This window comes from Homo sapiens, chromosome 1, assembly GCF_000001405.40.
Source record: "Homo sapiens chromosome 1, GRCh38.p14 Primary Assembly".
Taxonomy (NCBI): Eukaryota; Metazoa; Chordata; class Mammalia; order Primates; family Hominidae; genus Homo; species Homo sapiens.
Window position 1 is genome coordinate 247,330,857 of NC_000001.11, and position 25,820 is coordinate 247,356,676.

General features: G+C 50.2%; 1 protein-coding gene and 2 long non-coding RNA genes across 7 annotated transcripts in view, besides 8 other annotated features; 1 reads left to right on the forward strand and 2 right to left on the reverse strand.

Annotated features, from left to right (window-relative positions):
• The window catches only part of ZNF496 (zinc finger protein 496), a 34,453-nt gene extending 33,442 nt beyond the window's left edge, over positions 1-1,011 (reverse strand). For both annotated transcript variants that reach the window (NM_032752.3, NM_001329733.2), the window contains exons 1-2: positions 934-1,011; positions 576-791 (exon numbers count right to left, since the gene is read on the reverse strand). The gene's annotated coding sequence lies outside the window, so the exon portion shown is untranslated. The remainder of the gene's footprint in view (positions 1-575; positions 792-933) is intronic.
• Positions 49-288: a silencer, noted in NCBI's record as "silent region_2044". NCBI's record gives its function as "represses an Ori minimal core promoter by ATAC-STARR-seq in GM12878 lymphoblastoid cells {active_cell/tissue: GM12878}" and the evidence as "EXISTENCE:reporter gene assay evidence [ECO:0000049][PMID:35858748]".
• Positions 859-968: a silencer, noted in NCBI's record as "silent region_2045". NCBI's record gives its function as "represses an Ori minimal core promoter by ATAC-STARR-seq in GM12878 lymphoblastoid cells {active_cell/tissue: GM12878}" and the evidence as "EXISTENCE:reporter gene assay evidence [ECO:0000049][PMID:35858748]".
• Positions 859-1,578: a biological region, named in NCBI's record as "Sharpr-MPRA regulatory region 5917".
• Positions 891-1,185: an enhancer, noted in NCBI's record as "tiled region #5917; HepG2 Activating DNase unmatched - State 1:Tss, and K562 Activating DNase unmatched - State 1:Tss". NCBI's record gives its function as "activates a minimal TATA promoter and a strong SV40 promoter by Sharpr-MPRA in HepG2 and K562 cells {active_cell/tissue: HepG2 | K562}" and the evidence as "EXISTENCE:reporter gene assay evidence [ECO:0000049][PMID:27701403]".
• Positions 1,099-1,578: a silencer, noted in NCBI's record as "silent region_2046". NCBI's record gives its function as "represses an Ori minimal core promoter by ATAC-STARR-seq in GM12878 lymphoblastoid cells {active_cell/tissue: GM12878}" and the evidence as "EXISTENCE:reporter gene assay evidence [ECO:0000049][PMID:35858748]".
• The window catches only part of ZNF496-DT (ZNF496 divergent transcript), a 45,179-nt gene continuing 20,556 nt past the window's right edge, over positions 1,198-25,820 (forward strand). The window contains exons 1-3 of one of the 4 annotated variants that reach the window (NR_168398.1): positions 1,198-1,625; positions 1,872-2,104; positions 2,279-3,722. This is a non-coding gene — a long non-coding RNA (ZNF496 divergent transcript). Of the gene's footprint in view, positions 3,723-25,820 lie in introns of those variants that run through there. The other 3 variants (NR_168399.1, NR_168396.1, NR_168397.1) reach the window with 3 other exon arrangements.
• Positions 2,691-2,985: a silencer, noted in NCBI's record as "tiled region #7964; K562 Repressive non-DNase unmatched - State 2:TssF". NCBI's record gives its function as "represses a minimal TATA promoter and a strong SV40 promoter by Sharpr-MPRA in K562 cells {active_cell/tissue: K562}" and the evidence as "EXISTENCE:reporter gene assay evidence [ECO:0000049][PMID:27701403]".
• Positions 4,957-5,457: an enhancer, noted in NCBI's record as "H3K4me1 hESC enhancer chr1:247499115-247499615 (GRCh37/hg19 assembly coordinates)". NCBI's record gives its function as "activates a minimal SCP1, AML or CMV promoter by ChIP-STARR-seq in primed H9 embryonic stem cells {active_cell/tissue: H9 hESC(primed)}" and the evidence as "EXISTENCE:reporter gene assay evidence [ECO:0000049][PMID:30033119]".
• LOC124904574 (uncharacterized) lies at positions 5,019-5,880 on the reverse strand. Its single transcript, XR_007067004.1, has 2 exons — positions 5,598-5,880; positions 5,019-5,308 (listed from the first exon to the last, which is right to left on the reverse strand). It is a non-coding gene; the product is annotated as an uncharacterized LOC124904574 (long non-coding RNA).
• Positions 6,611-6,905: a silencer, noted in NCBI's record as "tiled region #1744; K562 Repressive non-DNase unmatched - State 14:Gen5'". NCBI's record gives its function as "represses a minimal TATA promoter and a strong SV40 promoter by Sharpr-MPRA in K562 cells {active_cell/tissue: K562}" and the evidence as "EXISTENCE:reporter gene assay evidence [ECO:0000049][PMID:27701403]".

Below are 25,820 nucleotides of genomic sequence, written 5' to 3' on the forward strand. Positions count from 1 at the left end.
ACGGAACAACTGAGTGGTTCCAGAAACACCCACTGCTCTGAATCTCTTTGCTTTCCAAAGTAACAACATACACAGAAACCCATATGGGGGCCGTGGCGGCGTCGGGCTGGACGCATTACAGCGCTCCCCACCACCGGATCGCTTCCAGGGCGGCTCCGGCATCTGGAGCCCGGGGTGGGCCCCGCCCGCCCTGCTCGGCGGCCCCCTGCGGCGCCCATCACACACCTGCAGCGCCCAGGACTACTCAGGCCCGCCCCCCCGAGCACCGGCGCCCACCCGGGCTGCCACTCGGATCGTCTCCAACCAGACGGCCGCGTCCGTCTTTGTCACGGCGGCACCTGGCGCGTCGGAGGCTCGGAGGAGATGCCTGATGAATGAACTAACGTGAGTGAGGCGGAGGAGGGCCCCGCAGGGGCGGAGCGAGCTCCCAGCCTTTCGCGGAGGAGGGACCGAGCTGGATCGGCAGAAAGGGAAGGAGAAGGTCGCTGTGGGCCAGGGAAGGGGGAGCCCGCCCTCCGCGCCCTCGGTCTCCCTCACACGCGCGTCTCCCGTCTCGCCGGCTCCGGGCTCCTCACCTCACAGCCTGGAGCTCCCTCCCGGCGTCCGGCCGAAAACCCTCCTGTGGCGGCGGAAGTCCAGGGCAGCCGTCCTCATCCTCCCAGCCCGCCCGGCCGGGCGTACTCGCTGAGGCGGGGTCTCCGCAGGCGCCCGGCTCCTTTCCCGGCCCGTCCAGACCGCGTCTCCCGATCATCCGGAAAGCCACGGCTCGGCTCGGGGGCAAATGGAGGCGCCTGAAAAACAATGGTGTTGCTTTCTCCCCCGCCCGCACCTTCCTGAGCGCTGGGCTCTGGGCTGGGAGGCGGCGCCGCGGAGGCCGGGCGCGGGCCGAGGAGGGCGGGGCGGGGCCGGCCGCGGGAGCCGGGGTGCACTCACCGCCGCGGCGCGTCCCTGTTGGCGGGCGGCGCAGGCCTGGCCGCCGCGGGAGCCCGCCGGACGCCGAGGAAAGGAAAGGCCGGAGCCCTCCGGCTCCCTCCCCTGGGACACTTCCTGCTCCGCTCTAGGACTGGGGAGGTCTCCGCATCTCAGTGGTTCGCTCCCCCGCCCCCCGGCCGAGGTGTGCGCTGGGGGTGACATCCGACACCCCCGGCCCGCCCCGCTCCGCGCGCGCCTGGGCCTGGCCGCCGGGCCGGGGGCTTTGTGGGTCAGCCACGTCGCCGCGCCCGGGCTTCCCCGCGGGCCCGCCGGTCCGGAAGGTCGGCCCGGGGCTCTTTTCTCCGCTGTTCTCCTTCTCTGGCGCCCCCAGGACACGCGGCCAGTGGACGCCCGGAACGGCCGACCGGGAGTCGCGGCTGGGGATGGAAGCTGGAATTGGGGGTGCGGGATGGAGCGGAGAGAGGAGGCCCCGCGCGCCGTCGGCCGCCTCATTTCAGACTCCCCTGCGACCCCCCCCCCGCCGCCAGCCGAAGCCCGGGCCGCCCAGCCCCTCCTGCCGCTGCGGGACGCCGAAGGTAGCGCTCACATCCGCGCCTTCCGGGCCTGGCGCCCACGTGCGGAGTCCCCGGGTTAGGAAAGGCCGCGCATCCGGAGGCCACGCAGAGCCTCGGGGCTTGCGCAGAGGGGCTGCGGTGAGTCCTGACCCTGAGTGGGGGTCACGGGGCTCGTTGCTCGCTGAAGTGAACACGGTTGCAGCTGTGCACAGTGGCGGAGGGAGAGGATGAGGGACTCTGACCCAAGGTTATGTGGCAGTGAGGGGCAAGCAGAAATGGGGGCCTCCGGACCCCACCCCGAGACAGGGCTGCTGGCCGCTGCACTATGCTGAATATAGCCCAAATTCTTACATGGGTCGTCCCCGGGGAATGCTCATTTTTCAGGCTCCAGAGCTTGAGAGAAAGTGCGAACCCGGTCCCTGAGCAGGTCTGATTCCCATGGCCCCTTCGCCATCTGCTCTGCACCGAAATTGGATTCTCCTACGCAGAGGAGAAGGTGGAGAAGATTCTCCGTCTTCCGGAGGGTAGCTACTGCCGGTAGCTCCGATTTCCTTCGGATCCCCTTTCAAGGGCAAGCAGAAGGAAATCAGTTTCTCCAAAGAAAGTGGCCCGGCTGAGTAAGTGGGAACAAGGTGGTTGGACTGAGGCACGGGATCCTTTAGCTCCGTTGCTCTTCTAATCCCGTGGCCCTGGGCACCGCCACTTCCTCCTCTGAACTGCTGGAATAATCACTTCTGACTAGCAGAGTTACTGGGAGCCGCTGTTTGTCAGTGTTCACATTCTGACTTTAGCAGGAGATGGAGCGAGCGAAGGAGTGAAGCCCTTGTTTGTGAACAGTGATTGTTTCCCGGATGACAGCCAGATGCCGGGCAGGGCCACGCAGATCTTAGCTGGAGCCTACAGGTACAAGTGAGAGCCACCCCCTTTGACGTAACTGGACTGGCATTTACAGAACTCATGTACAGCCCACTCTCAGGAACACCAGCCAGGAACCGTGACATGGAGGAGAGGAATTGGGAGGAACCGAGGGGTCATCAAAGGCTGGTAGGGCTTAGGTGCTCTAGCAAACATCCTAGTCTGTGGGGTTCCAGAGCTCTGGTGCTACAGCTCCCAACCCTTTGATTGGCCCAGGAACTGGCTGTTGAGTGGGCATCCGTGTTCATAGCTCTGCCCCTTGCAACCCTAAAGCAGATAAAATGCAGGAGGCAGAAATTGCTGGCAGACAGCATCCAATTAATCCCCACTACCCAATTCAGTTTCTTCCCCTGACCTGACACGTCCCTGCCCAGCTGTGCCTCCCACTGTTCACCTTTTGAGGCACAAAACGGGCTGTTTATGCTGCTGCTGCATTTAGCTCAAAACAGGGCTTCAGAGTCAAGGTTCTGGACTCAGGCACCCGGATTAAATCCTGCCCTATGAATTCCTAGCCAGGTGACCTCAGGCCTACATAACCTTTCTGTACCTCAACTTCCTCATCCAGAAAACAGGGATGATGCTGTCTACCTCATTGGATGGTTGTGCAGGATCAAAGATTCAGTCATTCAGCAAACCTATACCGAGTACCTACTGTACACTCATGAGTGCTAGGCAGCCAGCCTTCCAGGTGCTCAGGTACATCTGTGAACACAACTGGCTATTGGAGGAAGCAAAATCAGTAACATGACCTGCTCTCTTTGATCTGTGCTACAGAAAAAAAGGAAAGTGGAGAGGCATCAGGAAGTCAGGAGTGCTGGGGAGGGGCTGGTAACAGTCATGGTATTAAAGAGGAGGGCAGGCAGGCCTTACTGTGAAGGTGGTATTTGAGATGAAGTAGTTGGTCAGAGTCCCTGTTTGACACATGGAGACCACCTTGACAGCAAAGGCCCTAAGGGGGAGCGGTGCGAAGCAAGGTGGGCTGGTGAGTGAGAGGAGAGGGATGGCATAGAGCTGGGTGGGGGCACAGGAGCCCGTGGGGAAGGTGTTCGCCTCTGAATGAAGTGGGGTTGTATCAGATACCACGGGTGAAGCATCGGGAAGAGGATCCTGCCTGTAAACCCTGCTCAAGGACTGCACCATCATCATGCCCAGTGTGTGCGTGTATTAGGTTTGTATGAATATAATGTTGCCAATTGTATCTGTTTTTATGAAATGTTTGCTATGTGCCAATGATTATTCGATCCATGGGGAGACCATAGAAGAATGATCCAAGGAGTTGGGAGGGGAATCAAATAATAAATCAGCGATTCTGCAATATAACGCCATTGGTGATCGGTGTCATGAAAGAAATACAACATGGTGGGGAAGAGTGTGCTGGGGATGTTCAGGTAGGGCCTCTGTCAGGAGGTGACATTTGAGTGGAGAGCAGGTGGGGGGCTCCTGAGCAGAGGTGTGTGGGAAGAGTATTCCAGCAGAGGAAACAGCGTGTGCTTGCTCAGCTGGGCAGAGGAATAGTGAGAGAATGGTGAGGCTGGAACCAGGTCACCAGATGTTATAGTCATTAGAGGGTTTCAAGTAGGAGTGTGGCCTAACGGAATCTTGATTTTATCAAGATCACTGTGCAGAACAGATGAAGCAGAGTCTCTGTTAGGAATCGTTGTAGAGATCCCGGCAGGAGATGCTCGGTTCCTGGAGTTGACTGGTGGAGGCACAGCTGGTGAACAGTAGGCCCAATCCAGGCTCTGTGTTGAAGGCATGCTGCCTGTGTTAGAGGAGTGAGGAACGGCTGTGACTGGGGCTGAAACTGGGTGACTGAACAGGCCTTCTAGAGATGGCAGATGCAAGGAAGCAGGTTTCCAGGAAGGGGTTGGGTTTGGGGTTGAATTGGTGGATTTGGGACTTGCTGGTTTTCAGATGCCCAGGAGACAAGTGGGGATGACCCTCTGGGATAGAAAGCTGTGGCTGGAGGTGGAAATCTGGAGTCACCGTATGTAGCAGGAGCTGGGGCTTGAGAGGGTTGAGTGTGTTTTGAGAAGCAGCCCCAGGGAGGGCAGACCCTGCGAAATGCCAGCCCTGGACCGTGGGAGCCCAAGGGGTTAGTGGAGGAGAAGGGAGAGAAGGGGAAGTAGGAGGAGGAAAGTGAGGGAGGACGAGGGCAAGAGAAGGGGGTAGGGAGAGCTGCTGCCGCCTTGAGATAAAAGGAAAATTGCAGGTGTGGAGCCCTGGAATCCAAGTGAGCACCTGTGTTTCAAGGAGAGAAAGAGGTCAGGGGGATAAATCCTGCGCCAAGATCAAATCCGATGAGGAAAGAACACTGCCCATTGAATCTGGTAGAGAGGCCCCTGAGCAAAGCAGACAGTGGAGCTCCTGGGCTAGGGCACTTTCTGGAAGAGAAGGGAGATGAGAGTGGACACAGCCCTGTGGAGAAAAACGGTCTCATCTTAAAGATGGGAGAAATTGCAGTGCATCGCCTGGAGGAGGGAGGGCTGGCACCCAGGGCCCACGGGGAGCCGGAGGGCAGGGAAGGCTGCCTCTGGACCTGAGGCATGTCCACAGCATCTGGGCAGGGAGAGCCTGGGGCAGGCTTCTTCCAACTTTGCCAACACTCCAGTAAAATAAGGAGCAAGTGTGACGTTTTATTTTATGAGGCAACTTGGCTAGCTGTGGTACTCAGTTTTTGTTCAAACACCAGTCTGGTGTTTCTGTGAGGCTGTTTTTTAGATATGATTAATAGTTAAATCTGTAGACTTTGAATGCAGCGGGTTACCCTCCATAGCGTGGGCGGGCTTCATCCAATCTGTCGAAGGCCGTAAGAGCAAAGACTGCAGTCTCCTGAGGAAGGAACTCCCCCTGCGGCGCGCCTTCCGACTTGCTGCAGCTTCGGCTTTCTGGATCTGCAGCCTGCCCTGCAGATTTTAGACTTGCAAGCCAATCAGTTCCTTAAAAGAAAACAGTCTCCCTCATCTCTCTCTATTGATCTCTAGCTCTCTATCCCCACCCCCTTCCCTCCCCCCACTCCACATGCTATTTGTTCCGTTTCTCTGGAGAACCCTGACTGCTACACAGGGCCCTTAAGTGACAGGGAGAAAGAGAGGGTGAAATGTGAGAGCAGGAGGAAGAGGGCGTGAGACGGCCATCTTGCAGAGTGGAAAGGTGAATGGACGATAACAAAGGAAAGGGTGAATTATATATAACCTGGAAAGTGAAGTGTGCACAAGGAAATGTGATGTGTAACCTAAAGCCCCAGTGCTTTGCAGGTGGGCAGCCGTTCCACTGTGACATCGCCCCCCAGGTGGGCAGCCGTTCCACTGTGACATCACCCCCTGCAGAGGAGGTCATCATTCCGCATAATATGCTTGTAGACTGATGACAAATACAGGTGTGCAAATATGTGAAGCCCCATCACTGGACCAACCACACCTGCCTTCTCTGGGAGCTGTCAGTACCCACAGGCCCCAACCACAGCTTGCGCGGCTAACCAGGCACCAGGGACTTGCATGCTTTTTGCAATGTGAGAAGCTCTGTTGTAAGCTGGGCATAGTAGATACTCAATAAACTGTGGCTTTAGGAACAGTCCTAGGAATAGTAGTGCTAGTTCTTACTGTGTTAGTCACAGACATCTAGGGGGCATGGACAGCAAGGCATTAATCTGGTCCCTTATTGTGGCCTGTGGAAAGGGGTCAGTGAGAAGCTGCTCAGTGAAACAGCTTTGCATGATGACATTTTCTCACTATAGAGGCCTCCCAGCTGTCACAGAGGCCTGTTCATCTATTTTATTTTTTCTTTTTTTGAAAGCAAAAACACTTTGAGATTTGCAGGTAGGCTGACATAACCCACTCTCAGGGGCTCCAGTGAAAGTACCTCTTTTAAGTGGCCAAGTTGTCACTAAAGAGATGACATCTTTTTCCTGGAAATCAGCGTTGGATGCTACAGTCAAGAAAATAAAGACCCCAAACATTGGTATTTGGAGCTATTCTTGAGCATTGGGTTGTTCATGTTTATTCAGCTGGACCATCAGGGACAAGCTTGTGCCTTGACAAATTCAGATTTGCAGAAATGACCAGATTTATCGTCTTGATTCAGTGAGCGGGGGAGGGCACCCAGAGGAGGCTGGAATATGGCTTGATAATGGGAGAAGTATTTTTGCGAGGTTTGCTCCGGATGGAGGAGGAGAAGGAGGAAGAGGGGGAGGGGAGGAGGAGGATGATGTCAGGTGTGATGTAAGTGTGGGAGTAAGTCTCCCTTGTGGGATCTTTAAGAATCACTCCCAAGTGGCTGCAGCAATTACAGTCCAAGAATGATATGAAAGTACAGGATTTATGCTGCTCCAAGGTCCTGGAGAGGGAGGCACCGCATGCGTGCAGGGCCGTGTTGGATGAGAGCCAAGGGCCCAGGCTCTGCAGTGCAGGTGGGGGGTCGAGAAAGAGAGAGAACCCGTGGGCAAGTACCTGTGTCGGGGGGTCAGGGTGGGGCACACAAGCAGAAGGTATGAGGGGATTTTACTGGTGCATTGGAATGTCGCTGGGTCACAGTCGGGGGAAGGCAAGAAGGGGACCTGGAGGCAGAGACCAGGCTTATCACACCAGTGTGCCTAGTTGCTTGGGGGACTCACAGCCTGTGTGTGATACTGAGGCCTCATGGAAGTATGAAGTTTTAATAATTGATAATGTATCAGGGAAGTGGGAGTCGCATCTGCACTGGTTGTTGTTTAGAGGGGGGCTCAGAAGAAGTAGGGGTTCACTGAGGGTGATGGGCCGTCAGGAGGCAAGGATGCCTTGGTTGTTGCGTTCCCCCAGTCATAAATGAGTGCAGCAAGTGGGTCTAGGGCGTTCTTGGTTAGAAAGCAGGAGTCCATCTGTCAAGCGGGCGTTGTGGCGTTTCGAAGCTTTGGCAAGACCTTGGGGAAAACCACGTGTCCTGTGAATGCACAGTGGGTTACTCGTCTGTCTTCTTAGCCTGATGAAAGGCAGGGCTGCCTGTTCTCTTTTCTCAGTCCTTACAGATCTTGTAGATTTTCTCACATTCGCTCCTGGAGAGGTTTTTTTTTGTTTTTGTTGCTGTTGTTGTTGTTGTTTTGAGAGAGTCTCGCTCTGTCCCCAGGCTGGAGTGCGGTGGCGCCATCTCGGCTCACTGCAACCTCTGCCTCCTGGGTTCAAGCGATTCTTCTGCCTCAGCCTCCTGAGTAGCTGGGATTACAGGTGCCCACCACAACGCCTGATTAATTTTTGTATTTTTAGTAGAGACGAGGTATCACCATGTTGGTCAGGCTGGTCTTGAACTCCTGACCTCGTGATCCACCTGCCTTGGCCTCCCAAAGTGCTGGGATTACAGGCGTGAGCCACCGCGCCCAGCCTGGAGAGGTTTTGATGCTCTTAGGAGGGAAACGCCTTGATGTTACAGTTCCGCAGATGTTTCCATGAATGTGAGTTTGATCCTTTGTGATCGTCTTTGTTGTCTGCTCCTTAAATGCATTGAATCCTAGCATCCTTGGAATTTCAGGAGGGAAACTGATGTTCAGAGAAAGAGGATAGTGGTCAGGGACCCAGTGTTACAGGGGTATGTGTGTGTGTCTGAATGAGGGAGGGATGGGGAAGTAGACTTTGTACGGAATATGTTCAGCATTTGCTAGGTATATTATCTGCATTGTATTGCCTAATTCTCACCACCATCCCGGGAAGTTGGAGCCCTGAGTAGTGTTTGGACTCTGCCTTCCAGAAAAGAAGGGTTTGCTGCAGGCCTCAAATGGGGTGATTGGTTCTTGGGTGAGTAAATACCAGAGTAAACTCCTCTGGTATTGTAGGACAGTGTTTTGGTCGATCTAGTAAAGGGGGAAAACATCCTTACTCACAGTTCTGGAATTTTATGTCCAGCTATTCCTTGTATGCCATGTCACTTAGGAAAATTTAAAAAGTATCTGGCTGGGTGTGGTGGCTCACACATGCCTATAATCCCAGCACTTTGAGAGACCAAGGCAGGAGGATCACTTGAGTCCAGAAGTTTGAGACCAGCCTAGGCAACATAGCAAGAACCCATCTCCACAAAAAATTTAAAAATTAGCTGGGCAAGGTGGCACATACTTGTAGTTCCAGCTACCTGGGAGGCTGAAGCAGGAAGATCACTTGAGCCGAGGAGGTGAGCTATGATTGTGCCACTGCACTCCAGCCTGGGCAACAGAGTGAAACCCTGTCTCAAACAAAACAAGTAAATATCAATTCTGTTCAGCTTCCTGCCACCTTACTCTTTCCATAGCATTTTCTGAAATTCAAGTCACCTCTGACAACTCCACATTTTTCTCCTCACATCTAGTATTTGCCAATTGATAAAAAGTCTGGGAGCCTCAATGTGTCTTAGATTTATTTTTTTCTGTGCAATCCCACTTAGAAACCCTAACCTATATCTTGATTTCACCTCATAGCATAGCACAGACCTCATCCTGGATCCCACACCCTGATGTGTGTCCTGATTCCAGCTCAGAGCACAGACCTTATCCTGGATCCCAGACCCTGTTATGTGTCCTGATTCCAGCTCAGCACATACCTCACCCCGGATCCCACACCCTGATGTGTGTCCTGATTCCATCTCATAGCAGAGACCTCATCCTGGATCCCAGACTCTGTTGTGTGTCCTGATTTCACCTTATAGCACAGGCCTCATCCTGGATCCCACACCCTGATGTGTGTCCTGATTCTAGCTCAGAGCATAGACCTCATCCTGGATCCCACACCCTGTTATGTGTCCTGATTCCAGCTCAGAGCACAGGCCTCATCCTGGATCCCAGACCCTGTTGTGTGTCCTGATTTTACCTTATAGCACAGACCTCATCCTGGATCCCACACCCTGATATGTGTCCTGATTCCAGCCCAGAGTACAGACCTCATCCTGGATCTCACACCCTGATATGTGTCCTGATTCCAGCTCAGAGCACAGACTTCTTCCTGACCTCAGCATCTCTCTCCAGCCTGCTCACTAAGGTGCAGTTTAAGCCATGCTGTCCCTACCCTGGGTATTTTCCCTCTGTCAGACCCACATACAGGGCAATTCTATTTCTGCCCCCTTGCTATCTGTGTTGCTTAAGTGGTGGGAGATGATGGGTTAATTTTTCCATTCATAAACTGTTGATACACCTGGCCCAAATGGATAGAACAAAATCTGGCACTTAAATACCCAGCGCAGAGTTAGAGATACTTAGCAGGTGCTTGCTCATCACAATCCTTCTTCCTCCTCTATTAGCTGCATATAAACTTTTAAACTTTATAGTGTATGACATTTCTCATTTTAGTGTATCTTAATCTGCCCTTCTGCCATTGAACACTGTAATAATTAATTTTCGGTGTCAACTTGACTGGGCTAAGGGATGACCAGATAGCTGGTAAAAGAGTAACTCCAGGTGTGTCTGTGAGGGTGTTTCCCAAAGAGACTGGCATTTGAATCAGACTGAGTAATGAAGATTTGCCCTCACTGATGTGGGCTGGCATTATCCAATCTGTTGAATGCCCAGAGAGAGTGAAAAGGCAGATGAAGGAGGAATTCTTTTTTCTTCTTGAGCTAGAGCACCCACCTTCTCCTGGTCTTAGACACTGGGGCTCCAGGTTCTTGCAGCTTCATACTCTGACAGTGGCCCCCCAGTTTCTTAGGCCTTCAGCCTCGGACCGAGAGTTACACCAATAGCTTCCCTGCTTCTCCAGCCTGCAGATTGCATATATGAGGCTTCTCAGTCTCTACAGTCATCCAAGCCAGTTTCCATAATGAATACCGTCTTCATTTATGTGTTTCAATCTGCATCCTGCTGGTTCTGTTTCTCTGAAGAACCCTAATACAGACGCCACCTGCCAGTTATTTGTGCTCCCACATGAAGTATTCTGAATTCCTCTCTATCTCCAAACATTCCAAGTACTTTCTCTAAGTCTTTTATTTTATTTATTTATTTCTCTGAGACAGGATCTCTGTTGCCTAGGCTGGAGTACAGCGGCACAGTCACCGCTCATTGTAGCCTCTACATCCTGGACTCAAGCAATCCTCCCACCTCAGCCTCTCAAGTAGCTGGGACTACAGGCATGTGCCACCATGCCCTGCTAAGTTTTTAAATTTTTTGTAGAGGTGAGGTCTCACTATGTTGCTCAGGTTGGTCTCGAACTCTTGGGCTCAAGGCATCCTCTCACCTCGGCCTCTCAAAGTCTTGGAATTACAGGTGTGAGCCACCATGCCAGGCCACTAAATCTTATAAGCATAGCATGATCTGTAGCAGGAATTCCTTAGCACTCTGTAGCTACCGTTTTTTTTAATTTTGCCAGTCTTCTTCCATCCCCGTTCCTTCAGGCCCAGTTCACTGCATGTGCAAATGGGGGTGGCAGGGAGGGTCTTGTAATGGGTAAAATTGTGTCCCCTAACATGGTTTATGTCCTAACTTTTGGTTCCTGAAAATGTGAACTTAATTTGGAAATAGAATATTTGCAGATGTAATCAAGTTAAGATGATACTGGATAAAGGTCATCATGAGTTAGAGTAGGCCCAACATCCAATGACAGGTGTCCCTATAAGGCCATGTGAGATGATAGAGACGGAGACTGGAGGGATGTGTACCAGGTCAGGAACACCACGGATTGGCTGTCACTCACCAGAGTCTAGGAGGAGGCAAGGAGGGGTCCATATTCCGAGCCTTCGGAGACAGCATGGCCCTGCAGATGCCTTGATTTCTGACTCTGTTGTTTCAGGCCACTCAGTTTATGGCAATCATGACAGCAGCCCTGGGAAACACAACAGAGGCTTGTTTCCTCTGACACCCACTGACTTGACTGACAGTCTTAGGAAACTTGCTGCCATCCTACTTTTCTGCTTGTTTTATAATGATTGTTACCAGACTGTTCACATTAAATGTCTTGTAAAGCTGAAACCCTGCACTGAGACTTGAAGCTTGTCACCTTCAGCTTTACCCACCAACACTTTTTTTTTTTTGAGATGGAGTCTAGCTCTGTCGCCCAGGTTGGAATGCAGTGGTGCGATCTAGGCTCACTGCAACCTCCACCTCCCGGGTTCACACCATTCTCCTGCCTCAGCCTCCCAAGTAGCTGGGACTACAGGTGCCTGCCACCACGCCCGGCTAATTTTTTGTATTTTTAGTAGAGACGGGGTTTCACCATGCTGGCCAGGCTGGTCTCAAACTCCTGACCTTGTGATCCGTCCACCTCAGCCTCCCAAAGTGCTGGGATTACAGGCGTGAGCCACCGTGCCTGGCCCACTTTTTCCTTTTTTTGAAACGAGGTCTTGCCACATTGCCCAGGCAATCTTGAACTCCTAGGCCCACGTGATTTTCCCAAGTAGCTGGGATTACAGGCACACACCCCATGACCTGCTTTTCCCCTGCCTTTTAGTTCCCACACCTCACTGGTTAAAATTGACAATGTCCTCCAACTCCGATCCATCAGCTCTTTTGAATTCTGGTTGCCTTTTGTTGAGTTGTCTCATGGAATATCGAGATAATTGCCAACAGATCTCAGTGCCTTTCTTTCTTTCCCTCTGAGTTAATTCAACTTGGCATTTACTGGGTATCAAATCAGACAGCAGCCTCACTCAAGCGTGAGCAAGTGGGGCTTATTCTGGATGACCTGGAAACCCCACGGGTGCAATCGGAAGATGAAATAAGTGAGACTGACAGTAATGCAACGAGGCGGGCGGCACCTCCCGGGGAGAGGAGCAAAATGCCTCCCTGGTGAGTCCCCCCTCCCACCAACAAGACAGCGTAGCAGCCGAGGGAATTGCCCTCTGAAGATCTGCTGAAAAATCAACTGACAAAATTCAGATGAATAGGAGAAAAGGCATACAGATTTGTTCGATCGTAGTTCTAATGACTCATAGTTCTAAATGACTCAGAGGCCTTCAGAATGAAGGCCCAGAGACACAGGGAAAACTGTCTATTTTTTTTTTTTTTTTTTTGAGATGGAGTCTCGCTCTGTCACCCAGGCTGGATTGCAATGGCACAATCTCAGCTCACTGCAACCTCTACCTCCTGGGTTCAAGCGATTCTCCTGCCTCAGCCTCCTGAGTAGCTGGGACTACAGGCACATGCCACCACACCCAGCTAATTTTTGTATTTTTAGTAGAGATGGGGGTCTCACCATGTTGGTCAGACTGGTCTTGAACTCCTGACCTGGTGATCGGCCCACCTCAGCCTCCCAAAGTGCTGGGATTACAGGCGAGAGCCACCGCACCCAGCGGAAAACTGTCTATTTTTATGCTGAGGTTCAACAAAGTGTAGATAGCAACGCAGAGAAATGATTGGGGAAAAGGGCATGATCTAAGGCTAACAGGCTGAGTGGGGAAAGCCAGCAGGGCATCTGCTTAGATTCTTCCTGGCTTTCCTGTGCAGCATGTCTTCTGGCTATGGGGCAGCCCCTCTACGGAATGGTGGGGGGGGTTCTTATGACCTACCATCAAAAAAGGTAGGTCAGATTATTTATTTATGGTCAGTTTTTATACAGAAGGTTGGGGGAAGTTAGATTAATATTTTTAGGTATAATGGCTGGCTTTAGGGAAAAGGGGGTTCTGGTTTCACTTTGGAGAAGAATTCTAGTTTCTATTGTTGGCCTCGGGAAAATGAGAGGCCAGAGACAGGAAGGCAGGAGAAGGTCAGAAAATTTGCTTCTGAGGCTGCTACTGAGGTTTTCATTTTGGGGTATCATCTTAACCCCAAGAACAAGAAGCTTCATTCCCTACAGAGGTGTTCACAGCCAGGAGGGGCAGCCTACAGGTGACTAGGGCACAGTGCATTTGGAGAAGAACTAGCAGGACAATCAGCAGGTCCACATTAGCTCTGGACTTCCCTGCCCTGTCATCAGCCAGGGGTGGCTCCAAGGGGGCATCTTTTAGGTTTTGTTTCAGGCTTATTGGGGATTCCCCAGCTTAAAAGAAAGAGGGAAGGGCATCCAGGAGACCTACACAAAGGTGGGGCCTGTTTTTTTTTTTTTTTTTTGAGACAGAGCCTCACTCTGTCGCCCAGGCTGGAGTGGAGTGGTGCGATCAGCTCATTGCAACCTCTGCCTCCCGGGTGCAAGCAACTCTCATTCCTCAGCCTCCCAAGTAGCTGGAATTACAGGCATGCACCACCATGCCCGGCTAATTTTTGTAATTTTAGTAGAGATGGGGTTTTGCCGTGTTGGCCAGGCTGGTCTCAGAAACTCCTGGCCTCAAGCAATCTGCCCACCTTGACCTCCCAAAGTGCTGAGATGACAGGCGCCAGCCACCGCGCCTGGCCAAGCCTCCTGAAAACACTATTTGGAGGGAACTGTGTGACAGACTTGGCAATAAGACCTGGAGGCCCCCCGGTACACCATGCTGAAGAATTTGGTTTTTACTCTGCAGGCTGGAGTTTATGATTTTTTGCCTGCATCCCCAAGAAAGGCACATGCTCTGATAATTCCTGCTGTATTCTGTTAGAAGAAGGCAGGACTAGGCCGGGTGTCATGGCTCCCACCTGTAATCCCAGCACTTTGGGAGGCATGTGGATCACCTGAGGTCAGGAGTTGGAAACCAGCCTGGCCAACATGGTGAAGCACCGTCTCTACTAAAAATACAGAAAATTAGTTGGGCGTGGTGTCAGAGGTCTGTAATCCCAGCGACTTGGGAGGCTGAGACAGGAGAATCCTTTGAACCTGGGAGACGGAGGTTGCAGTGAGCCGAGATCGCACCACTGTACTCCAGCCTGGGCAACAAGAGGGAAACTTTGTATCAAAAAAAAAAGAAAAAAAAAAAAGCAGGACTGCTATTGACAAAGATTTTCTCGACCAAACTCTACTCATGCTCCCTGAACTCTTCTCAAGCCCTGATTTTTGGGCTTCTGTGTTTATCTCTGCACATTGTCTAATCCTGCTAAGTCAGTTTAGCCAGAATCCTGCACCGTTGATACTGATCACCCTTGATATCTGATTGAGTTCCTCATCCTCCATCATGCCTCTGGTGATGTGGTATCTGATCACCGTGATATCTGATCAGGTTCCTTGTCCTCCATCATCCCCCGGGTAAAGTCTGATCACCATGGCCTGCCTTCAGCAAGAGTCCTGTTAGGTCCGTTCAGCCAGAATCCCCATGCCCATGGTGTTTCTTCTTAGTAATTTTCTGCTGACCCCCACCCTGCTCCTTGGCTATAAATTTCCACCTTTACTTGTGTTCAGAGTTGAGCCCAATCTCTCTTCCCCACTGTAAAACACTGCTGTGGTGGTCCCTATACTTATCTCCATTGGCCACCTGAATAAAGTCTGCCTAACTGTTCTTTAATCAGTAGTATCATCATTTTTTCATCAACACTGTCACATGTTATAATGGGTCTTTCAAGCAACAAAGTGGGCCAGGCATGGTGGCTCATGCCTGTAATCCCAGCACTTTGGGAGGCTAAGGTGGGCAGATCATTTGAGCCCAGGAGTTAAAGACCAGCAAAGGCACCATCTCTACAAAAAACAAATAATTAAGTAGGCATGGTGGCTCACACCTAGATTCCCAGCTACTTCAGATGATTTTTTTTTTTCTTGAGACAGAGTCTTGCTCCATCACCCAGGCTGGAGTGTAGTGGCACCATCTCGGCTCACTGCAACCTCTGCTTCCCGAGCTCAAGCAATTCTCCTGCCTCAGCCTCCTGAGTAGCTGGGACTACAGGTGTGCTCACCATGCCCGGCTAATTTTTGTATTTTTAGTAGAGATGGGATTTCACCAGGTTGGCCAGGCTAGTTTCGAACTCCTGACCTCAAGTGATTCGCCTGCCTCAGCCTCCCAAAGTACTGGGATTACAGACATGAGCCACTGCGTCTGGCCTTGAAAGGATTGTTTAAACTCAGGAAGTCAAGGCTGCAGTGAGCTATGATTACACCACTGCATCTAGCCTGGGCAATAGTGCAAAATCCTGTCTCTGAAAACAAACAAAAAAGACAACAAAGGTGTTAGTGAAAGGTTCTCATCAGGCTAAGGGCATCTTAACAGGTAGCAGGGTTCAGTTAGCCTATTTGAGAAGGACAAACTGTAGCCCCAAGGCCAGGAGAGAGGTGCAGGTCTGTGGTTCACTGGCCAAGTGACAAGAAAAGATGACGCCGCAGGTGGAAAAGTGCACACTTGACCTTGTGATGGTTATATCCTGTTCTTTAAAATATTGTACAACAGTAGCTTTGGGTTATAACTACAAGATGTATATAAAACATAAATGAGCCAGGTGTGGTGGCTCATGCCTATAATCCCAGCACTTTGGGAGGCTAAGGCAGGAGGATTGCTTGAGGCCAGGAGTTTGAGATCAGTCTGGGAAACATAGGGAGGCTGTATCAATAAACATTTTTAAAAAGGGTGCAATGGCACCTGGCTGAGCCCAAGTTTGAGACTGCGGCGAGCTATGACCCCACCACTGCACTCCAGCTGGGCCACAGAGCAAGACACTGGCTTTTCTTTTTTTAAAGAAAGAAAAATGAATTTTATGTTTAGGCTTGGTTCCCATCTTCAAGATATCTCATTATGTATTTGTAAATATTCCAAAATTTAAAAAAATCCAAAATCCAAAACGCCACTGCTCCCAAGCATTTCGGATAAGGGATACTCAACCTGTACCACAGACTGGGTGACATGAACAAACATTTATTTCTGGAGGCTTAGACGTCTAAAATCAAGGTGCTGGTATAATCAAATGGTGGAGATCCCCTCCCTGGTTCATAGAGGGCTATCTTTCTATGGTGGGGGTGGGTAGAGCTCTCTGGGGTCTCTTTTATAAGGGCACTAATTCCATTTATGGTGTTCCATCTTCATGACCTAATCACCTCCCAAAGCCCCACCTCCTAATGCCATCACAATGGAGGTTAAGATCTCCACATAGGAATCTAGGGGGACATAAACATTCATTCCAGTTATGTCCCCCCAGATTCATATGTTTGGACCGGGCGTGGTGGCTCACACCTGTAATCCCGGCATTTTGGGAGGCCTATGTGGGAGGATCAGTTGAGCTCATGAGTTCCAGACCAGCCTGGACAATATAGGGAGACCCCGTCTCTACAAAACAAAAATAAAAAATTTTATCCTGGCGTGGTGGTGTGGCATATGGTCCCAGCTACTTGGGAGGCTGAGGCATGAGAATCACTTGAACCTGGGAGGCAGAGGTTGCAGTGAGCTGAGACCGCACCACTCTATTCCAGCCTGGACAATAGAGCGAGACCGTGTCTCAAAAGACAAAAACAAAAAGTTACTTTGCATGCTCATTTATTGTGTGTTGAATTAGAATTTACTTCCATCCTTCGTGTCACTTTCAAAAACCTGTGTCTCACCATCATCAGTCTACTTAACATAATTTCTTCTAAAAGTCCCGCCCCCCCCCCCCCCCGCTCCTATGTAACTGCTCCTATCAGCAAATTCTGAGAATTCTGGGGACTCTGATAAGTCCTCAGAAATTATCCAGTATCGTATTATCTAATTGAGTTGAAACCAAGGCCAGGAAAGAGGAAGGACCTAAAGCGCTGGAAGAATTTCTGGGCCCCAACCACTCCCAGTTTCGGTCTCTTTCTACCAGGGACTGGTGCAAGACTGTCTAGAATTCCAGAGCCTTCTCGATGTTCGGGTCAGACCTCCATGCTCTCCAGCACCACTCCTCCCCAACCCTCTCCAGGGGTCCCCTGGCTTCGCACGGTTCCCCTCCCCGGCCCCCACCTCCCCATCCCCAGTAAGTGCAAGCAGCTTTCCGGGGCAGGCAGCTGCCCTACACCTGGTGCTTACAGGGAAGTGGAGAGGAGGGGCAGGCGGCTGGAGCGGGGGTCTCCAAGGTGGGCCTGGAGCCCGGCGGGCTCTGGGGCGCTGAGCTCATCTCGCCACGCCCTGCGCGCATCCGCGCAGAAATTTGGGAGGTGGGGTTGAGTCTCGCAAGCTCCTCTCCGCCAGGCTGGGCCGCAGCGGACGCCGGCTCCCCGATCACCCGCTCAGCAGCTTTGGCCCAGGAAGACCTGCAGCCCTGGCTCCCTTGCAGGGGTGCAGCTGGGGTCTCACCCAATTCCCGGCATAAATGAATGGAAGAGGCCTAGGGGTGAACGTTTATCTCCACATTACTGTGCAGATCATTCAAATCGGGACTAACCAGAACCGCAGTCTTCCCATTTCTAGGGAGGAAAGTTGCTCTTAAAAATTTTTACAGTAAATAATTTTCCTAGTGGACCTCCTTTAAAGGGAAATTGCCGTATTCACCCCTCAGTTGTTCCAGTGCTTTGTTTGTGTCAGAAATTAAATGAATAAGCCAGAGAGAACCTCTTGGACCTGCTGCACCAAATTCACAAATGAAAAGTTCATCACCGCTTGAGGGCGAGTGGCTTCTGGGGCTCAGCTCTCAGTGACCTTTAACCACGGCTCCTCACCAGGTTCCAGTGAATTTGGAAGAGGAATCCCTTTTTCTCTTTTCCAGAAAAGTCGCTGATTCCCAGTGTCTTTCCTACTGAGGGCTTTTTGAAGCATTCGGAGTTCAGTTTCTCTGGATTGTTATGGGCCCAGCTTCTGGGGCCCGTCCAGTAAATACCACTCCATTTGAGAAGAGAATAAATAGGCAGTTACCTCTCTTGGACAAAAACGTTCCGATCCATCCCCTCTGAACTTGGAAAGAAATCCCCCCCTTCTCAACAGGTCTTGCACCGTTGTTTTTCACCCTATGAGTTCTGCATGTTTTATTCAACATGGTGGGTCTCCACAGATATTTTTTAGTGAAAGAGGCTGGTGGAGATTAGATGTGAGAGTGTATTGCTTTTTTTTTTTTTTTTTTTTTTTTGAGATGTAGTCTCACTCTGTCACCCAGGCTGGAGTACAGTGGCATGATCTCGGCTCACTGCAATCTCCGCCTCCCGGGTTCAAGTGATTCTTCTGCCTCAGCCTCCCTAGTAGCTGGGACTACAGGCACCCACCACCGCGCCCAGCTAATTTTTGTATTTTTAGTAGAGATGGGGTTTCACCATATTGGCCAGGTTGGTCTCGAACTCCTGACCTTGTGATCCACCTGCCTCGGCCTCCCAAAGTGCTGGGATTACAGGCATGAGCCACCGCGCTCGGCCGAGTGTATTGCTCTTATCTGGGAAATAACTCATAGACGTATTTCTGAAGGAGGGCTTTTCACATCTGCCAGCAGGAAGCGTGAGGGGAGGCTCCGCCCATCAGAAACCACTGCTTGCTTTAGCACAGCCCTTACCTCCAACAGTTTTATGGGCTCTCTTTTTTGAGGAAAGGAGACATCCTTCTCTAGGAATAGTTCTGGTTTGGGGACCCAGTAGGAGGTAGATCTGTTACAGGAAAGGGGTCCCAATCCAGGCTCCCAGAGACGGTTCTTAGATCTCAGGCAAGAAAGAATTCAGAGCAAGTCCACAATGCAAAGCCTTGTGTGTCCATAAAACCTAAGCCCTGGCTGGTGTTCAACTCCCGGCCTCAAGATCTCATCAGATCTACCCCTGGTGGATCCCCAAACTAAATCCAAGCCTCACCACGGCCACCTGTCTGGACCCCAGAATCTAAAGGCTCAACACCAGAGACATAAGCTCACGGACAAATCAAGCAAGTATTCAAAATGTCACAAAACAACTGTTTTATGACTTTGAAACATCTAGCAGAGGCTGGGTGTGGTGGCTCACACCTGTAATCCCAGCACTTTGAGAGGCCAAAGCTGTAGGATCACTTGAGCCCAGGAGTTCTAGACCAGCTTGGGCCACACAGTGAGACCCTGTCTCTACAAAAAAATTTAAGAATTAGCCAGGCATGGTGGCACCCACCTGTAGTCCCAGCTACTTGGGAGGCTGAGGTGGGAGGATCACTTGAGCCCAGGAGGTTGAGGCTGCAGTGAGCCATGATTACACCACTGCACTCCAGCCTGGGTGACAGAGTGAGACCCTGTCTCAAAAATAAAATAAAATTTTAGCCATGAGACTGAAAAAACTCACTAATTTAAAAGGACATTTGGGGCCAGGAGTAGTGGCTCACACCTGTAATCCAACTGATATGGTTTGGCTGTGTCCCCACCCAAATCTGATGTTGAATTGTAGCTCCCATAATTCCCACGTGTTGTGGGAGGGACCTGGTGGGAGATAACTGAATCATGGGGGCGTTTTCCCCCAGACCATTCTCGTGGTAGTGAATAAGTCTCATGAGATCTGATGGTTTTGTAAAGGGAAACCCCTTTTACTTGGCTCTCTTTCTCTCTGTTGCCTGCTGCCATGTAAGATGTGCCTTTTGCCTTCCACCATGATTGTGAAGCCTCCTCAGACATGTGGAACTGTGAGTCCATTAAGCCTCTTTTTCTTTATAATTTACCCAGTTTTAGGTATGTCTTTATCAGCTATGTGAAAATGACTAATACATCAACTCTTGAAGAGGCCAAGACAGGAGGATTGCTTGTGGCCTGAAGTTTGAGACCAGCCTGGGCAAAGTAGCCAGACCTCATCTCTACCAAAAAATTAAAAAAAAAAAAAAAAATAGCTGGGTGTGATTGTGTGTGCCTGCATTCCCAGTTGCTTGGGAGGCTGAGGTGGGTGGGGTCACTTCAGCCCAGAAGTTGGAGGTTGCAGTGAGGTGTGATTGCACCACTGCACTCCAGTGTGGGCGACAGACTGAGACTCTGTTTCTAAAGAAAAAAATAATAATAAAAATAAATGAAAGGACAGTTGGATTAAAACTGTGGCCCTGTAAATGGAACAAGTTAATCTGTCCCACATAGCTGAGTTGTAGAGAATATAGGGCAGCAAATCTACACCTCAAAGCAGAGAGAGAGAATTTAAGCTTTTTTTTTTTTTTTTTTTTTTTTTGGTGAGACAGACTCTTACTCTGTCACCCAGGCTGAAGTGCACTGGAGTGATCTCAGCTCACTGCAACTTCTACCTCCCAGGTTCAAGCGATTCTCCTGCTTCAACCTCCCAAGTAGCTGGGATTACAGGCGCCTGCAACCACACCTGGCTAATTTTTGTTTTTGTTTTTGTGTTTTTTTTGAGGCAGAATCTCACGCTGTTGCCCAGGTTGGAGTGCAATGGCGCGATCTCGGCTCACTGCAACCTCTGCCTCCTGGGTTCAAGCAATTCTTCTGCCTCAGCCTCCCGAGTAGCTGGGATTACAGGCGTGTGCCACCACAGCCGGCTAATTTTTTTTTTTGTATTTTTAGTAGAGACAGGGTTTCACTGTGTCAGCCAGGATGGTCTCGATCTCCTGACCTTGTGATCTGCCCGCCTCAGCCTCCCAAAGTGCTGGGATTACAGGCATGAGCCACCATGCTTGGCCTAATTTTTGTATTTCTAGTAGAGACGGGGTTTTGCCATGTTGGTCAGACTGGTCTTGAATTCCTGACCTTAAGTGATCCACCTGCCTTGGCCTCTCATAGTGCTGGGATTACAGATATGAGCCACTGCACCTGGCCAAATTTAAACATTTTTAAGAAGAAATTTGTGTGTGTTAGGTAAAGGGAGGTTAAAAATGGATGCCAAGGTTAACACAGAATCATAGGAATTTACAAGAGCATATAAGGAGACCAATTTTAGGTAGTTTTCAATGTAGTACCTATTAGAAATGGGTTCCCTTAATCATTGTATCCCTCCCCCATTTCAGACGGAGCTGAACTCCCATTTCCAAATGGGTGGTTTCCAATTTGGTCTTCATTTTCCAGCTGCACCACTGAGCTCAGTGCAGAGCCCATTAATGAATAGGGCCAACAAAGCATTTGCAGTTTTCAGGGCCTAATACTTATGTATTTGAAAAGCAAGCACAGCTGGAAGGCAGAACACCCAGATCCTCAGAAATCAAAGACCCTGTTTTTACATGGAGTCCTGGGTGTCTCAGAGCTGTGTTAAAAGCCCAAGAGGGAAATGTCATGGGCCAGGCTGAGCAACACTTCCACCATGCACCTTGCTGCAAAGGTATTCCCCCTGGGCTGGTGGATGGCCCAGTGCCAGTCAGCCCACTGTGTGATCAGCCCATCTCTCATGGGTATCTTTTTTTCCAGTATTAAGTGTTCCTACAGTCTCCAAGTTTCCAAACTTCACATTTCTTATCTAAATGTTCAAAGAAATGAGTACTCCCCTATAGTAGTAACCATTTGCCACAACTGTAGTCTGCCACCTCCAAGATTACACTTGCCAGTGACTCACCAGCCGTAACACACCCGAAGGTAATGTGCTCTTACAATACAAAATACTCCTGGTACCCATAAAAGCCAAAAAATATCAGGAAACTCAGACCGGGTGCAGTGACTCATGCCTATAATCCCAGCACTTTGGGAGGCTGAGGCAGGAGGATCACTTGAGCCCAGGAGTTTAAGAACAGCCAGGGCAACATGGTGAAAACCCATGGGTACAAAAAAATTAGCAAGGTGTGTGGTGATGTGCGCCTGTTGTCCCAGCTAATTGGGAGGCTGAGGTGGGAGGATCACCTGAGCCTGGGAGTTTGAGGCTGTAGTGAGCCATGATCGTCATAGGAACAGAAGGCAGAGAAATTCTGGGAGGGCAGTTCCCCAGCCAAGGCCCCACCTTCAATCTGAAAAGCCTGATACTGCCGCCCAAAGTGAGAACTTACATCCCTGTTTTCCCATTCAAATGGTGCCTTTTCCAAAACCACCTGTGGCCTGCTCTGTCCCCCATCCCGTGCCCATAAAAACCCCAGGCTCAACTGGCAGAGAGAGGGGAGGCAGCTGGACTTCGCAGACTGTGGTTGGATATGATTGAGAAGTGGCTTGACTTCAGAGGGACAGCTTGACAGCATAGCTTTAGAGAGGAGTCCAGCTGGGGATGGCCAGACTTCAAGGGAAGATTACCTTCCTGCTCCATCCCCTTTTCAGCTCCCTTTGCCACTGAGAGCCACTTTCATTGGCAATAAAATCCCCCACATTTACCATCTTTTCATTCATGTGACCTGATTCCTCCTGGACACCAGGCAAGAACTCAGGTGCCATGAGTGTGAGTGCAAAAGGCTGTCACACTGACCCTCCACTGAGCTGTTAACACTGAAGCTGGCCATGGACGGCAAAGCTAAAAGGGCACTGTAACACTTCTTCTGGGGCTTGAGGGATTGTGGGCACTCTCCCCTAAATGCTGCTGTGGGGCCGGTATGCAGTTCGCTTTTGCCAGCACCCAAAAGCACTCACTCAGGCTTCTGCACCTACTCACTGGTGCTCCCTCTCCGAGGAGTGGAGCAGTAGTGAATGGAGTTTGCCTCTGCTGGTGCCAAAGCAGCTGGCTGGTTCTAGCACCCGTGCGCCCCGGTTTCTGCCCACAAAAGGGTCAAGGAAATATCCTGCTTCAATTGTGTGAGAAAACATTTTCACTGGTCCATTTTCAAGGCCTGATAAATCTAAGCACTGGCAGCCAGTCTGTAAATGTAACAAACCACATGGCTCATGCACCCAGAAGGTCACAATAAGCAAACAGAATGTAGAGAAGGGGTCAGTCCATAAAAGGGAAGAAAGTTTCGTTATAGGGAAATCAAAACTTAAGTGGGAGCTGGGCGCAGTGGCTCACACCTGTAATCCCAGCATCTCGGAAGGCTGAGGCAGGTGGATCACCTGAGGTCAGGAGTTCGAGACTAGCCTGGCCAACATGGTGAAACCCCATCTCTACTAAAAATACAAAAATTAGCCAGGTGTAGTGGCAAGCGCCTGCAATCCCAGCTACTCAGGAGGCTGAGGCAGGAGAATTGCTTGAACCCAGGAGGCAGAGGTTACAGTTTGCCAAGATTGTGCCATTGCACTCCAGCCGGGGTGACAGAGTGAGATTCTGTCTCAAAAGAAAAAGAAAAGAAAAGAAAAAGAAAGAAGAAACTTAAGCAGGGAAGGAGACTGGGGTATAACCTTACAAGGAGGACAATGAAACTTAGATGACATCCGGGAAGATCGTAACCCCATAGTACTCGACCAATGAAGAACTAGCGGAGGGACTTGTGTGCTAGAAGATAAATTACCTGTTGTGACTGCCCCAGTTGTGCCTGCCCACCAGACACCTGATCTTGCAAGACCGTTACTAAATGTCTCCTTTTCACTGTTCTTCAGGCCTCTAAGTCCATTCTCTGGATTTGGACAGGTGAGTGTGTTTCTCACAAGCATGGGGGCCCATCTGGGATCCATGTGCCTGTGTGAAGTGGGACTTTGGCCGAGAGGGGAGATGTGTCCCACCTGATTTAGGTGGCCCGCTCTATCTGGGCATCCCAGCTTCCCATAGAAGGCATAAACAAACCCAAGACTATTATTCAGGAGGCAGCAGAAGCAACACAGGGAGAAAAGCAGGCACTGCGGGAACCAGGCAAACTCATGCACCAGCCAAGGAAGGAAAATTGGACTGTAAGTACTGCCTTGGTCATGGGGCATTTTTGGAGGTCTCGGGGTGTGCAAGAAACCTCCAGTAAGGGGGGTTGAGTAGACAGGGAAAAACTCAGACGCAGAGACTGGCAGAAAATGGGAAACAGGAATTCTAGGCCTGGGAGCCAAAGGAAAGAGGGAGCCAAAGAGACTCCGTCTGACATTCCCCTGGATAGTCCTTTGGGGAGATTGTTGCAGGTTTGGTGGAACAACCCTCGAACCAGGGACAAGGAAAAGGAAAAGATGATAAAGTATTGCTGTTTTGTCTGGCCCAAAGACCCCATTCATAAGCCTTCTGTCTTTTGGCCTAAGTTTGGCTCAGATGAGGATTGTGTTCTAAGCTTTAATTCTCTCTGTGAATAATAAAACTTCATCCTCACAAGAAGAGATAGGTTACTCTCTGCTGAATCAAGGAATTAGCCCCCATGATCCCCCTCAAAAAAGAAGAAAAAGAGCCTGGTGAAGAGCCCTCACCCAGTGAAAAGCCCTGGGACCCCCTATCGTGCTTGCCCCTTCATACGTCTCACAAAAAAGGGGACAGGAAGATCAAGGGGCAGCAGGAGGGTTAGAGGAAGAAAGACCCAGAGACTACAGGGGAGCCAAGCCAACTGCTCCTTTAAATCCTTATCCAAATTTAAGAAAAGAATTACAAGAGTGTAAGAGGGATATTGAGAACTTCCCTATCCCTTCCACACAGCAGGCATCTAGCATGTTCCCTCTTAGGGAAGTTCCCATGGGACAGGGAGAGATTGGCTTTGTAAACACTCCTCTTGCAAGTACTGAAGTTAGGAATTGCAAGAAGGAAATGAAACCACTCCTAGAAGATCCCCTGGGTTTAGCAGACCAGCTGGACCAATTCCTAGGACCCAGCTTTTACACTTGGGCTGAAATGATGTCTATCATGAATATCCTGTTCACGGGAGAAGAAAGGGGAATGATTAGGAGAGTGGCCATGACCAGTGGGGAGAAGCAACACCCTCCTGGGCAGTGAGACTTGCCAGCCAAACAAAAATTTCCAAATGTTGATCCCGAATGGGATAATAATGATCCCAGGGACTGGGCCCAAATGCAGGACCTCAGGAAACTAGTAATTCAAGGGATCAAAGAGTACACTCCTAGGACACAAAATGTCTCAAAGGCATTTGAGATTCAACAAGAAAAAGAGAAAACTCCCTTCACATTCCTGCAGAGGCTCAGAGATGAGAAAATACTCCAGATTAGATCCGGAGGACCCAGTAGGGCAAGGCCTGTTGCAGATTAACTTTGTTACTAAAAGCTGGCTTGACATTACAAAAAAAAAAATTACAAAAGATTGATGGATGGAATGAGAAACCGATTGAGGAATTACTGAGTGAAGCTCAGAAGGTCTTTGTGAAAAGAGGGGAAGAGAAGCAGAAACAGAAAGGGAACATCATGATTTCCACTGTGGAAGAGGTAGCCAAAAAAAGATTAGCTCAAGATCCCCCTCAAATGAGACAAGGGAATGATAGATTTCGACACAGAGAAAGAAAGGAAATGCAGGGGAAACCTCCTAAGACTATGAGTGGCTAGATGTTACAAGTGTGGAAAGCCAGGGCATCTTAAGAGAGAATGTCCTCAATGGAAAAAAGAAGAAGAGATGATCCCCCTCATGACCGTTGATGAATACAATGGGGGTCAGGGCTTCCTTCTGAGTAGGTCCCACCAAGAACCCTTGATAAATTGGAAGGCGGGACCTTAGGGAGAAGAAGTGACATTTTTGGTTGACACTGGGGCAGCTCACTCCTCCCTAATCCACAAACCAAAGGGTACAGAACTCTCTAAGGAAAAACTGAAAGTATTAGGCGTAAAAGGGGAGGGATTACAGGTTCTGATATTCAAGACAATGTTAATTAGACTGGGACCAGAACACATTGAGGGGTCACTCTTATATATTCCTGAAGCAGGAACTAACCTAGTGGGTAGAGACCTGATTGTGAGATTCAGTTTAGGATTAGGGATACACAGAAAGGACAAATGAAAGTAAGGATGGGCCTCCTAACAGAGGAGGAGGGAAGAAAAATTAGTCCCGTTTTGTGGTTTGGGAAAGGCAAGCGGGGACACTTAAGAATCACAGCCTTACAGATTGGACTAAA